At 46.8% G+C, this 14,353-nt stretch overlaps 5 annotated features.

Moving 5' to 3' along the window:
* Window positions 68-457: an enhancer, noted in NCBI's record as "active region_14451". NCBI's record gives its function as "activates an Ori minimal core promoter by ATAC-STARR-seq in GM12878 lymphoblastoid cells {active_cell/tissue: GM12878}" and the evidence as "EXISTENCE:reporter gene assay evidence [ECO:0000049][PMID:35858748]".
* Window positions 68-695: a biological region, named in NCBI's record as "H3K27ac-H3K4me1 hESC enhancer GRCh37_chr19:35224273-35224790".
* Window positions 178-695: an enhancer, noted in NCBI's record as "H3K27ac-H3K4me1 hESC enhancer chr19:35224273-35224790 (GRCh37/hg19 assembly coordinates)". NCBI's record gives its function as "activates a minimal SCP1, AML or CMV promoter by ChIP-STARR-seq in primed H9 embryonic stem cells {active_cell/tissue: H9 hESC(primed)}" and the evidence as "EXISTENCE:reporter gene assay evidence [ECO:0000049][PMID:30033119]".
* Window positions 913-972: an enhancer, noted in NCBI's record as "active region_14450". NCBI's record gives its function as "activates an Ori minimal core promoter by ATAC-STARR-seq in GM12878 lymphoblastoid cells {active_cell/tissue: GM12878}" and the evidence as "EXISTENCE:reporter gene assay evidence [ECO:0000049][PMID:35858748]".
* Window positions 2,493-2,703: a silencer, noted in NCBI's record as "fragment chr19:35222265-35222475 (GRCh37/hg19 assembly coordinates)". NCBI's record gives its function as "represses an EF-1alpha promoter that drives an FKBP-Casp9 reporter gene in an ReSE screen in K562 erythroleukemia cells {active_cell/tissue: K562}" and the evidence as "EXISTENCE:reporter gene assay evidence [ECO:0000049][PMID:32094911]".

Below are 14,353 nucleotides of genomic sequence, written 5' to 3'. Positions count from 1 at the left end.
AACCGCCTGGGGCTGTCGTCCCAGAGCCCGGCAGTTAGGACCATGCGGGAAGTGTCCTGGGGCATATAGTCATACTGATGAGGTGAAAGATACACCTCGGAACCAAGGGCCACCCTCTACTTTTAAGGACAATGGCGCCGGGACCAAGAAACTACACTTCCCAGAAAACCGTGCGGCCGTGGCAAACTCTTCTGGGTCTAGCGTGCGCTCACACTAATGTTTATCTCCCGGGACGTGGGCAGACCTTGTACCAGGCGAGCTCTCGCCTTTGCTAGCAAAAGAGCTCCTCTCTTCCCAAACCCTGCTACTACGCTGTCCACCCTGTATGGTCTTTGAGGTCTTTGAGGTTTTTTTGGAATTCACTTGCTGGAGACTACAGCTCACAGAACGCCCTGGGCTGGATTGTGCCAGCTGTAGTTCGCGAACCAAGGACATTTCCTGGAAATGCATGCGGCCACGTATCTGTGACAGAAATGGCAGTTCTCACGTGCGTTACGCCCCCTGGAAGGACTTGGAAATACGGAACTTGAGTGAGCACTGAGAGGACACAGACCCTCATCCTGGGAGGAGTCACTCCTCCCGCAGCCATCAGAGCCTGACAACCGCTTCTCACCAGAGGCGCTTCTTAGACCCTGACCTTGCCCGGCTCACCCAAAGGGGCAATGGCCTTCTTTGTATGCAAGCCAGACAGTCTACTGTTGTATATTTGAATTTTTTACTTTATTTTTAATATTTTAATTAAATTTTAATTTAATGCTGCCTCTACCTCTGAGAGAGACAGGGAGAGATGGGGGAGGCCTGGAGTGGGGGCCCTGCGGGGCAGGGACAGGGGACCCTTCCTCACTTTGCACAATCTGGGAACCCTCCCCAAGCGGAACAGCCAGCTGCAGTGGAAAAGCACTGGCTTAGTGGGCTTCGTCCTGGGGACGAAGGCTGGGAGACTGCAGCTGAAAGGTGTGGGCTCCAGGAGGGCCGCAGGGGGCCTAGCAGCAGCGTCAGGGAGCAGAAGTCCGCCCTCCCTCCATCTTCCTTCCTTCTCTGGCCGCCAGAGCGCTCTGTCTCCCTCCCACGCCCACAGCTACAGGTGGAGCCGGCTTGGGGCGGGGGGGGGGTCCTCCTAGGGCGAAGAGGGCCAGGAGCCTTCCTGAGGACCTGAGGCTCCTCTGGGCCTCCCAGGGCTGGGCCTGTGATCTGATCTGCTTTGCCCTGGGAGGGACGTGCTCAGTGGTGGGGTTTGTGTAGCTGTCACTCATTCACCTGCCTGTGCTCAGCCACTCACCTGCTACTCCCATTGGCACCCACCCAGTACACATGTGGGTCGTCAGCTGCCATCAGGAGTAGTTCCTGCCTGTGTCACACACACCCATCCCACCCACCACACTGCAGGTTACAGGATTGCCCCACAAGCGCCACCATGCCTGCCTGAGGTTACCTGGCACACAAGTATCCTCACCTGCATGACATGACCAGATCGTGCACTTTCTATGCCAGGACCAGGGCCAGGGCAAGCTTGCACCTTCAGCCTTGGGGACACTGGGGGTGGTGGTGGCTGGAGGCCAGGGAAGTCACCAGGCTGGAGACATCATCTACCTCCAGGAGAGGGTTGATATCAGACATCTCCCATGCACCACTTTGAGCTATCTCAGCGTCACCTGGGACTCTGGCTGGCACTGTGACCAGCAGTTCCATGAAGGTTTAGACCACCTCTAGGCTTAGGAAGGGCCTCCCTTGCCATCAGCGTGGTCCAGGCTGCACGCCTGGTGACCAAGGGCTCTGGGCAGCAGATGCAGCCAGCCAGAGTGTTGGGGTGAGGGGCCTGGGCACAGGAGGGACGTGAGGCCTTCCCTGCACCCCCATGACCACCATTTCAGAGGGAGGACAGCAATTGTTTGGGTTTGTCCTGTGAGCGGTGGCAGAGGGCAGGGCCCAGGGCAGGTCCAGGGCCAGACAGGCATCCCATGCTACAGCCTCGGGGCCACGAGGGCACATGATGGGGTCGGTGTGAGGGCATCCCCTGTGCCAAATACCTGGGCAGGAGGTGCCCTGGGGTTGGTGGGTGGGTCAGGGCATTTGCAGGATTTCTGGTTTCTGTTGGAGTTGTATGTCCTGGAGAATGGAGGGAAGAGAGAAAGGGTGAAGAGAAGGGGGAAACGACCCCTGCTGCTTCCTGGCCTCTAAGTAGGGGGTGATGGGTGGTTGGTGAGTGGCAGAGGGGTCAGCGGGAGCTTCAAGGCTGAGCCAGGGAAGCGGAGGCAGCAGGGATGCAGACCTTGCCTGAGGCTGGCTCGGGGCTGGGGCTTCTTAGAGGTCAGGGCCCTAGAGCTCCCGGACAGGGAGTCTGCAGGAACAGTGACACAGCACATGACACAGCACAACTCAACACAACACAACCTGGCACAGCAGAGCAGCGTGCTGTGCACTGGGCTGCAGGAGAACACGGAGTGGGGTCTGTAGGGTCCCAGGAGTCATGGAGCAAACTGACCTGAGCCGTGTCCCTCAGTCAAGGCACAGGCACCTGGCCTTCAGCCAGCTTCCTTGTGACAGCCCCATGCCCTGGTGTCCCTGGGGCTGAGACAGGGCTGGGGCTGCTGTCCAAGGTGAGGTCTGACTAATCCCCTGCCTCTAACCCCCAGTTGTTTTGGGAACTTGAGTATCTTCTAAGAGACCCAGTGGTGCTGATGGGATTTCTGGTCACCTCAACCAGGGCCCCTGCCCACCTGGCCACACTGGCTCCTACTCAAATCTGACCTTAGGGCTTGCGTGGCCTCTGCTTACTGAGCCCTGTGGTTCTCTGCCAGGCACCATTGGCCCTGCGGCCAGGCTGACACCTGGAGAATGGCCTGTCCCCAAAGCCTGCACTCCTCCCAGCTCACCCGCTTTGCTTTTCTCCCACACTGGGAGGTGGGAGCCAGGTTGACACTGGAGGAGGAGCTCCCTCAACTCTGGCTTCACTTTAGAGTTCTGGGCAGAGTTTTGGGAGATGAGATTTCCTGGAGAGGGGCTGGAGCTCGAGAGCCTGCTGAGCGGGGAGTGGTCCCATAGCAGAGAGACCCATGGTGGAGGGGCGGGGTGGGTGGGGAGGACAGCCTGGCTGTGGAGGAGCTGGGGCAGGCAGGTTACACGGGTGCAGCTCACACTCCCTCCTTTTCCCCGCTGTCCTCTCCTGTCTCTTCCTCCTTGCCCTATTCTTTCCTTCTTTTCTGGATACGCTTCATCCGGATTCAAAAGGATAGCTTTTGATATTTCACCATTAAATAGGAAGTTTAATTTAGGAATTTTTGGTAGATGCTTTGTTAGATTAAGGATATATTATTCTATTTCTATTTTATTTTTTTAATTTCTTTTTTTTTTTTTTTTGAGACAGAGTCTCTCTCTGTCTCCTAGGCTGGAGTGCAGTGGCACGATCTCAGCTCACTCCAACCTGTGCCTCCTGGGTTCAAGTGAGTCTCCTTTCTCAGCCTGTGGAGTAGCTGGGACTACCATCACACACCACCACGCCTGGCTAATTTTTGTATTTTCAGTAGAGGCGGGATTTCACCATGTTGGCCAGGCTGATCTCCAACTCCTGACCTCCAGTGATCCACCCACCTTGGCCTCCAAAAGTGCTGTGATTACAGGTGTGAGCCACCGCACCCGGCCTGAGAACATTTTTTAAACAAGGAAAGATGACGAATATTATAATACATCTTATTTACGTTTAATGAAATGTGCATATGTTTTTTTTTCTTAGTTCTGTTAATGTTTTAAAGTATATCAAATGATTTTTTAATATGAAACCTGGCTTGCTTTTCTGGTATAGATCTGCCTTAATCAGCATGTAGTATTATTTTATATATAATCTCATTGACTTTGCCAATATCTTGTGTGGAAAATTTTGTCTATGTCCCTGAGTGGTTGGATTTCACTGTCAGGATTATAGCAGCCTCATTAAATGAACTGAGGAGTATACTGGTGATTTCCATTTATTCTGCGAAATCTAGTCTACCCTTTCCGCAACCTGTTCCGTATACCAGAACATGGCCTTTTCTGGATTGCATCATTGGGCTACGTTGCCCTTTTTTGGGGGGGTGTTGACACATTGGAGATATGGCAGGACATATGGGAAGGAAGAAGAGAGTGAGATGAAGTGATTTGTTCCCAGCTGACTTCCCTTAGGGCTGCAGGTTGGCAGTGGCTGTTTCCCTCTACTGATGGCCAAAGGTCCCATGAGCTTGACCTCTCCTGCAGTTGCAGGTCTCACTGCATCCTTGGAACAGCTCTTTTTCTTTGTCTCCCTTTGGGTATTTTGCTTTTTCTAGACTTGGATTTTTTTTTTTTTGACAGAGTCTTCCTCTGTCGCCCAGGCTTGAGTGCAGTGGCATGATCTTGATTCACTGCAATCTCCGCCTCCCGGGTTCAAGCAATTCTCCCGTCTCAGCCTCCTGAGTAGCTGGGACTACAGGTGCCCACCAACATGCCCGGCTAATTTTTGTATTTTTAGGACAGGATTTCACCATATCTGACTAATATGGTCTCGAACTCCTGACCTCAGGTGATCTGCCCTCCTCGGCCTCCAAAAATGCTGGGATTACAGACGTGAGCCACCACAGCCGGCCAGGGGTTTTCTTATCGACTTCCCTTGACTTTGCTCACACCAGAGCCAAGAGCCATTCATTAAACTCTCCTCAGGTGTCCAGTGTGAGTTTGCCATTTCTTTCCTGCAGGAACACTGACCGATACAGACAAGGTACCATCATTATTTATTCTTTGGAAGAATGTGTATAAGATTGGAGTGGTTTCCTCCTTAAGTATTTGCTAGAACTTTCCAGAAAAAGTCATCTGCCTGGGATTTTCTTTGCAAAAGCTTTTAAAATTTTAATTTGGTTTCATAGACAATTAGAAGACTGCATGGCCACCAGCAACAGTTGCAAATTCTTATGGGCAATAAAACTCACCAACACAATAGGCATTCACTTGACTCTAAATTAACTTAGATTTATGAAAGGACAAAGAAAAAGCATGATCAGTATTTTCAGTGTTATTGGTGGGGTGAGAGATGTCCAGCAGCAGCAGTCTAGCATTTCACACCACCATTCAGTAGCATAGCTATATGGGAATTAAAGTTAATGTGCATGAGGTTCACCTTGAAATGTTCAGGTATCACTGTCTGATCCAGAACATCTTACAAATTGGAGGACACCTCCATGTCCATGTTAGTTTAGGAAAACCTTGCTTTCCTGACAGTCTCTTACATGATCCCAATCATGTCATCATTCAGTGTCCATACGCCACTCACTGCCTTCCCAGTTCAGGTGCAGTTCCCCAGGCAAAGCTTTCACAATAAACAATGCCTGAAATGCAGCATTTCTCATTGATCTAAGTCCATTCTAAGGAAACAGTGCAGGAGGAAAATAAAAGCAACATCATCTTCCTAGGATTGCATATAGGAGAGAGCCTAGGCCTCCTGTTCACAGTTCACCCATAAGGACTATTCAGGGTTTCTCTATCTTCTCATGTCAGTATTTGAATGTTTTTCTTGGAATTTAAAAGTCTCACCTAATTTTAAAAGTAAACATAAAGTTTCCATAGTATCCTATTTAAAATGTTTTATTACTTTATTTTTAACAGATAAACTCTCACTATATTGCCCAGGCTGGAGTGCAGGAGCTATTCACAGGTGTGATGATAACTCACTGCAGCCTCAAGTTCCTGGGCTCAAGCAATGCTCCCACCTCAGCCTCCTGAATATACTCTTATTTTAATGGCTGAAAGATCTTTAAGGTGGTATCCTTTTAATTTATTCATTATTTGTGTCTTTTCCATTTTTCTTTTTAATGTCTCCCTCCCCATAAGTTTTTCAGTTGGTAGTAGATTAAGTTAATGTTCCACAACATTTACTTTGTGCCGCTAAATTGCCACACAGTCTTCTACATGATCCTAATCATGTAGTCACTCAGTGTCCATACTCCACTCACTGCCCTCCCAGTTCAGGCGCAGTCCCCCAAGTCCCCTCACTCCATTGCTGTCCCTAGATTTGGACAATGGGATGTTAGCAGACAATAGGCAGTTAATTGCTTCAATAGGACCATGCAGTTAGTCTTTCCTTCCCACATTCCTGTGGTCACTAAGAGAAGACCTTTCCCCTAGAAGTGCTGGTTCTTAGGTGTTAGCCCCTGAATGAATAGATGTGGATCAGATTTGAGCCCAACCTACAGGAGGGGTCAAGTCCTATCAGGCCCACAGATTGAGTGTTCACTATCTAGCCAAGACCAGCTTATATCAGCTGAAACACCAGCTGTTGTAACCGAGTGAGTTGTAGAGAAACGCCACACTCTGAGACTAATTCAGGAGTCCTTTTATTGCTGGTGACCGAGAGATGGCTAGTGCTCAAAATTCTCTCAGCCCTAAAGAAGGGGCTAGATTTTCTTTTATACTTTGGTTTAGAAAGGGGAGGGGGAGCCTAGCTGAAGCAATTTTACAGAAGTAAAACAGGCAAAAAAGTTAAAAGGACAAATGGTTACAGGAAAGAAAAATAGTTCCAGATGCAAGGGCTTTAAATCTATCAAAGGGTGATAGACACAGGTGCTTTAGGTACCATCAACAGACACAGACACGGGGGCTTTGGGTACTATCAACCAGGTGAATTCCTGGGAACTGTGGATATAGCTTGCCACAGTATCTTATCAGTAATTGCATTCTTTGATGTGCTGGGAGTCAGCTTGCACAAGTTAAGTCCTTGAGGAAGGGGGGTGGGTAAGGGGCTGCAAGTGAAGGAGCCAAAATGGAGTCTGTCCCGCTCTCTCAGCTAAGGGAGAATCAATTTCAGGTTAAAACAAGGTAGGATATCACATTTCCCACTTGTGTTTTGGGGGAATCAAATCATTGATTACTCAGTTTTAACAAGGGGGTTATATTGGGCTTTAAGATACATAAGCTTGACAGAAGCTGTGCATTGCTTTACAAAGTTAAGAAACCAATTTAATATACAAGGCTCGAAGACTAAGCCTAACAATAGGAGGAGGAGGAGGGGTCCAGCTAACCCAGTGATTAGAGTAGTTAGCCATGGATTCCAGTTAAACATGCTTTGGTACCAGGGGGGTGTTATTTTCCCGCTCCTGCTGGTGTCTATCTAGATTCTCTTGAACTTTTTGGAGAGTATCTTTTATGACCCCAGACTGACTGGCACAGAAGCAACAACTCTCTCCCAGAGCTGTGCATAACCCTCCTTGAGAGACAAATAGCAGATATAAGCCTCAGCGGTTTTGAAGAGCTACTTTAGCTAGAGACTCTACTTGGGTATGGAGTATATCTATGGTTGATTGGAGATGGCTTAAATCAGCATCTACTTGTTGAGATAGGGACATTAGTCCAGTTTCTCCCTGAATGAAGGCAGCCATGCTGATGGCTACCAACCCAGCTGTGCTTAGGCCGGCCAGGAGGGGTACAAGGAGTAGGGCGGCTCGGCAAAACCTGGTATGCAATTCAGGGGGAGTGATGAGAAGTTGTCCTTCTGTCCCACTGTATACGTAGACCTGGGGGAGCACATGAACCAACACACACAAGAGAGGTCCTGGTTCAGTCCCATTGATGCAGCGAGTGAGACCTGAAGTGCAGGCTAACCAGGTATTGTTAGGTGCCTGGTAGGAGACTGAGGTGCTTAAGGAAGTAAGTAAAGACTGATAACAGGTAGCCTGAAAGGGAGAAGCAGATAAATTATATCCAGTGCTAATTAGACAAGAAGCATTCCCGGACACGTCTCCTAGTGTGAGGGCACAGGGGCATGTATGACAAGAAAGAGAGTCAATATTAAGCATGGCTTCTACTCCTAATCCAACATAATAAGGGGGTTTGGCCTTTAGGCACAACCAACAATCTCAGGCTAGTTTAGGCTGGGTGAGATTGAGGAGGTGATGTACCCTGCCCAGAATGGACATCAGGCTGGGTTGGAGGTGTTGTTGTTGCAGCTGAGGTTTAGGAACCAGGAAAGGCGGCGGGACAGTTAAGTTGACACTGTCTGGGTATTTTTGGAACACAGGGTCACCTAAATCAGTTAAAGGCCCGATTGGCTTAGGAGGGCTCCATGGGACCAGGATTTTTTTTTTTTTGGATGGTGAACATAGTTCCAACATCAAATCCTGGGATATAAAGCCTTAATCCCAAGACATGCCATAATTCCATTGAGCTAAATTAGGATTATGAACAGTTATAGTAAGGGGATTACAATTTCTCTTAGTCCACAGTTTAGGACAGGAAGCACAAGCTATGGAAAGGGTTGAAGATCGGGTTGATCCCCCAGAGTAGGTGGCCAAAGTTACACATGTCCAGTCAGGGCAGAAAAACTGGTAAGAATCTCAACAACTAGAGTTAGGGTGATTTCGAGGACAGAGGTAAAAGTCAACATTCTGGAGTCCTTTTTCTGCACCTTTGGAGCTCCCACATCCTGTCTGGCTTCCGGAGTGTCCAAACCCTGCAGCAAGGTCAACGTTCCCTGCTCCTATGATCGGCAGATTGTGTTGCTCTTCGAGAGTATGGGCAGGCTCTGGGAACAGAGCACATAAATCACTGCAAAAAAGACTTCCTCAGAGGTTCCTGCCTTCCAGGTGGTGTTTGCAAACACAGTCCTGTCGTGAAAGAAGTAAGGAGAAAAGAGTAGGAAGGAGCAGAGGGCATGACAGGTGGAAACAAAAGAGATAAAGAATTAATCTAATGGCTTCACTCAACTTAGGCGCAGTTTTAAGGGGCTTGTCCCAGGCTTGGGGACCCATGTTTCTTGCTGGGCTTTGTTGGTCTTCTTGATGCGAGAGTGATGAATCCAGCCGGAATGCTGTCTACTTTCAGAGCTGTTGGCGTGGTGAGGATGACAGTATGAGGTCCTTTCCAGGCAGGAGTGAGTCCTTCCTTCTGGAACTTTTTAACATACTCCAGGTCACCCAGCTGGAAAGAGTGGCAGAGCCCCATCTGGTCAGGAACTGCATTGGGATGTGCTCCTTGGACAAGCAGCTGGATGCTGTCTTGTACCTGTTGGAGAGACTGCAGCTACTGTAACAGTTAGCTTCTCTTCGGATACGTTCCCTCTCTCCAGAGGTGAAAGAGTTAAAAGGAGCCGTTAACAGTCATCCCAGGTGGGCCGGTGGGTCTGGAGCACGGACTCCATCAATGAGGTCAAGACCTGGGGTTTTTCAGAGAAGGGGGGATTATGAGCCTTCCAGTTGTACAGGTCAGAAGTAAAGAAAGGGACATAAACCAAGAATGGAGCTGAGCGCTCATCACCCGGAGGGATTTGTGCCTCTCTCAGCAGGAGGAGGGGGGCTACCTCCTCCTGCCGCAGCCGCAATCAGGAGGCAATAGGTGGAGAGCCCAAAGGAGATGTAGTCGAGGAGACTAGGGAAGATTCTGAGGGAGCAGGAAGGTTATAAGGCAGCAGAAATGCGTGAGAAAAACTTTCCTCTTCTTCAGAAGGAGGCAATACAGGAGGAGCCGAGGGGGCCAAGGGTTGGGATGACAGTGAGGCCTGGCTCAAAAGGACCTTGGAGGTAAGATTATGAATGGCACATGAGCGGAGCCAAGCGAGAGGGCTCCAGACCAAGCTCAGCCATTGATCAATGTAGGGAAACTGATCGGGGTGACTGGGAGTTCCAGCAACGACCCGCCACACAGCCTGAACAGCTGTGAGATTCAGTGACCCTTCTGGGGGCCACCCGGTTCCAAACTGTGGCCATTCTACTTCACAGAATGTCAGGAGTTTGCCTTTTTTAAGGTGGACCCCATAATCCTCTGAGAAGCCCAGGGAGAAATTTTGTAACATACATTAGAGAGGGCTCCAATCTTTATGAGGCCGGGAAGAAGAGTTTCCCATTCTGGAGGCAATTTAACAAGGTTTTAGCAGAAATATTAAACCCAGCATGGACAGAGAAATTCATGGCCTGGGGGGCTGTAATATCGGAAGAACAAAAGTATTCTAACCAGAAGAAGTAGGAAATCAATTACAGCCAACACTTCTTGCCACATAAGTTCTGTCTCTTTAATCTTTCAGATCTAGGGGGAGGACAAGAGGTGGCTCCGAGGCCAGTGGGACCTATGTGATCCCCCTCTCCTCTTTGACTTATAGCCCAAATATTTTTGGTGTCTCCACGATTCGAAGGCAAAAAGTTCAAACCTGGCCTTTTCTTTTAAGGGTTTTAGGAGGGAGAGCAGAGCCAACTCTTGGAGGCACTGGACTGGCTGTGACACAGAAAAACAAGATATGTGAGGTAAGGGATGGGGATGAGGAGGAAAGGGGCCACTCAGATCTTTCCTAAGGTAGGAGAGTAGCCACAGAGGAATAGAATAAGGGTGCAGACGGAGTAAAGCAGCACGGGCACAGGTTTCTCCGCACAGTGCCTTATCCAAGGGCACAGGAAAAGTTATGGGATGACAGAAAAGGTGAGCAAGGAGGTCTGCGGGGTGGCTATTTTGAATCCACCACTGGTCTAAGGAGGAGGTGGTCCAGTCATTGGGGCATGGGGTATGGCAATCCAAATGCCAGCAACCTTTATGGTGCCAGAAATCCCAAACGGGCGAATGTTTCTCACACCCCTCCCCATAACAACACCTGATTTGTTTCTGACAGAAAAGGCAGGACTGGGATGGGCAGCCAAAATGACTAATGAGAGATTTTTCCTCCCAGGATAGAAAATCTGTACCGAGGACTTTGAAGAAGTCCTTGTCCAATCGCCATGGGCAGTATCGGCGACCTGACATACGAAATTTAGACAGACCAAACAGAAAAATAGACACTGGGGTATATAAATTAGTATAGCAATTTTTATAGACAGACAAGGGGAGGGGGTCCCATGATGGGATCAGTCAGATGCCCGCCTGGCCGCTCCCCAGGAGAGGACTTAGGCTCCTTTTGGCATTGGCAGGCCGGTGTAAACCCCCAGCTCGGATCGAGCTATGCCTGATGCTGCCCTAAGCCTTATGAGGTCGCCATGGAACTGCAGGTGAGGGCCCACTCAAACTCCATAGCTTTCACCATGGAGCTACAAACTGGAAATTCAAGCGCAAGCCCTTGAACTCCACATTCACTCACTCACTCATACAGAGTTTATTACAATTCTTATTCCTGTTCTAAAACAGAGGTCTCCTAGAGACCTGAACAAGAGAAGGAGAAGAGATAAAAGAGAGAGAGAGAGAGAAAGAGAAGGGAGAGAGACAGAGGGAGAGAGAGGGGGAGAGAGAGGGAGAGAGAGAGACAGACAGACAGACAGACAGACTAGTCTTAACAGAGAAGACAGACAGAAACCAGGACTCTGTCCTCCAGCATCCTGGAACGTAGACAGAGTCTGAGGGAGGGCCCTCGTCACGGCTGTTTCCCTCCCAGAAAAACAAAGTCAGATCTGACTCACCTTCCTGGGACCAGAGACTGAGGACTCAGGAGTTGAATTTGGTGGGCATACACTGGCAGTCGATCCATTCCCCTCCAGAAGACAGTGGCCTACAGGGCGCTGGAACATCTTCAGGTTGCGCTTCCCCTATAAGCCCGCCATCTGTTGGGGGTAGCCCAGAACGAGTCCAGCACTCACCCAGTGGTGAAATCTCACTGGGGCCTCCAAATGTTGTAACCAGGCGAGTTGTAGAGAAACGCCACACTCTGAGACTAATTCAGGACTCCTTTTATTGCTGACGACCGAGAGACAGCTAGTGCTCAAAATTCTCTTGGCCCTGAAGAAGGGGCTAGATTTTCTTTTACACTTTGGTTTGGAAAGGGGAGGGGGAGCCTAGCTGAAGCAATTTTACAGAAGCAAAACAGGCAAAAAAGTTAAGAGGATAAATGGTTACAGGAAAAAAAAACAGTTCCAGGTGCAGGGGCTTTAAATCTATCATGAGGTGATAGACGCAGGGGCTTTGGGTACCATCAACCGGACACAGACGCGGGGGCTTTGGGTACTATCAACCGGGTGAATTCCTGGGAACTGCGGATATAGCTTGCCACAGTATCTTATCAGTAATTGCATTCTTTGATGTGCTGGGAGTCAGCTTGCACAAGTTAAGTCCTTGAAGAAAGGGGGCTAGGTAAGGGGCTGCAAGTGAAGGAGCCAAAATGGAGTCTGTCCGGCTCTCTCAGCTAAGGGAGAGTCAATTTCAGGTTAAAACAAGGTAGGATATCACACAGCCAACCCACAGCACATGAGGGATCAATGATTGTCATCATCATCAATGATTGTCATTTTAATCTATTGAATTTTCAGGTTATTTGTGACAGTAAAAGTGAGCCAATTGAATCATTAATTTCTATAAATATGAAGAGTTTGCAATCACTTTTTGTTATTGATTTCTATGAAAATTGCATTGAGATCAAATTATATCCTCTGGAAATTTTAAAATCCTTTGAAATTTGTTGAGAGCTACTTTATGTTCTAATAAGTGGTCATTTTTATTAATCATCCACATGCAATTAAAAATGCATATTCCTCCATTATTACATGCCTTATTCTATTAAGTTTTTCCTAATTGTATTTTTAAATCTTATATATGTTTATTTAATTTTTTTATTTTAACAGCTTTAATGAAGTATAAATGACATATAAGAAGCATGTATATCTAAAATGTACAATTTGTAACTTCTGACAGTTGTGAAAACCAGAAAAATCATCACCACAATCAAAATATGAACAGATTTATCCCTTGTGAAAGTTTTCTTGTGCCTCTTTAAGTGCCTCTCTCCTGCCTCTCCTTGTCCCCTTCCTTCTCTCTGGGCAACCACTGATTTGGTTTCTGTCAGTATAGATTAGCTTGCATTTTCCAGCACTTCATGTACATGGACTCATAGAGCATGCACTGTTTTTGATCTGATTCCTTCACAGAACTTATAATCTTTCAGGTTCATTGGTCTTATGAGTATGAATACTTCATACCTTTTTTTGAGTTTCAAATGTTAAAAAATTTACATACAGCAAACTCACTCTTTTTGATGTGCATTTCCGTGAGTTTTGAGAACTCTGTCTTATGTAGGTTTTGTACGGGTGTCTGGAGTCGTAGGCACTTCTACAACAGTAGAGATGTTTCCTAACTTCAGACGCTCCTTGTGCTGTGCTTTTGTAGTCAGGTGGTCTCCTTGCCCTTAATCCTGAGTGGCCACCAGCTTGTTCCTCATTCCAATGGCCTTGCTTTTTCCAGAACTGCTTATCAATGAAATCATGTACTATGTAGCTTTTTGAGTCTGGCTTCTTTCAATAATTTCCTCATTGACAAATTCTACCTATAATCTTAAAATACTAAAGGTATCAAGTATCTTTATTAATACTCATTTTTTCAGATGTTTTAATTGCTGGAAATAAGATTACCCAATTTATTTTTTAAAAATCAGGTTCTTCACATGGACACAGGAAGGGGAACATCACATACCGGGGACTGTTGTGGGGTAGGGGGAGGGGGGAGGGATAGCATTAGGAGATATACCTAATGCTAAATGACGAGTTAATGGGTGCAGCACACCAACATGGCGCATGTATACATATGTAACAAACCTACACGTTGTGCACATGTACCCTAAAACTTAAAGTATAATAATAATAAAAAAAAGAGATAAAAAAATAAAAAATAAAAAATAATCAGGTTTTTATGTGGCAATATATTTAATATATTTTTATATAGTAACTAGATAATAAGATTTCTTTTTTACCTCTGGCTTTATTGGTATAATTGACAAATAGGAATTGTGTATATTTAAAATGTATGGCTTTATAATTTGATATATATTTACAGGGTGAAGTGACCACCATACTCAAGGTAATTAATATATTCATCATAGATTTGATTATATTTAGAATTTTAAAACAAAAAGGTATTGAAGTCAGCCAGACTCAAAGGCTACATATTGCACGGTTTTTCTTATTAGCAATTCTGGAAAAAGTAAAGCTATAGGGATAAGAGCACACCAGTGGCCACTAATGATTAAGGGTGAGGAGATTATTTGAGTACAAAGGAACAGCAGAAGAAATTTTTTGAGGGGTAGAAAACAGGTTTTTTTTTTTTGTTTTTTTTTTTTTTTGCTGGTGAGGACACTTAAGATAACAATTTTTAGCAAATTTCAAGTATGATGGCTCCTCCCTTTTTCACAGTTTTGCTTTCTGCAGTTTCAGTTACTCATAGTCAACCAGAGTCCAAACATTGGTGAGGCAGTACAATAAGACATTTTCAGAGAGAGACACTGATCAGATTCATGTAAATTTTACTACAGTATATTGGTATAATTGTTCTATTTTATAATTAGTTCCTGTTAATTTCTTACTCAGTTGGATTTATAAACGAAACTCTATGATAGGTATGGACGCATAGGAAAAAAGCATAGTATATTGTATAGAAGGTTCAGTACTATGCATGGGTTCAGGCA

This window comes from Homo sapiens, chromosome 19 (genome assembly GCF_000001405.40).
Source record: "Homo sapiens chromosome 19, GRCh38.p14 Primary Assembly".
In the NCBI taxonomy this organism is placed as follows: domain Eukaryota; kingdom Metazoa; phylum Chordata; class Mammalia; order Primates; family Hominidae; genus Homo; species Homo sapiens.
Note: the sequence above shows the minus strand (reverse complement) of the source record. Positions and strands in the feature narration are given on the sequence as shown.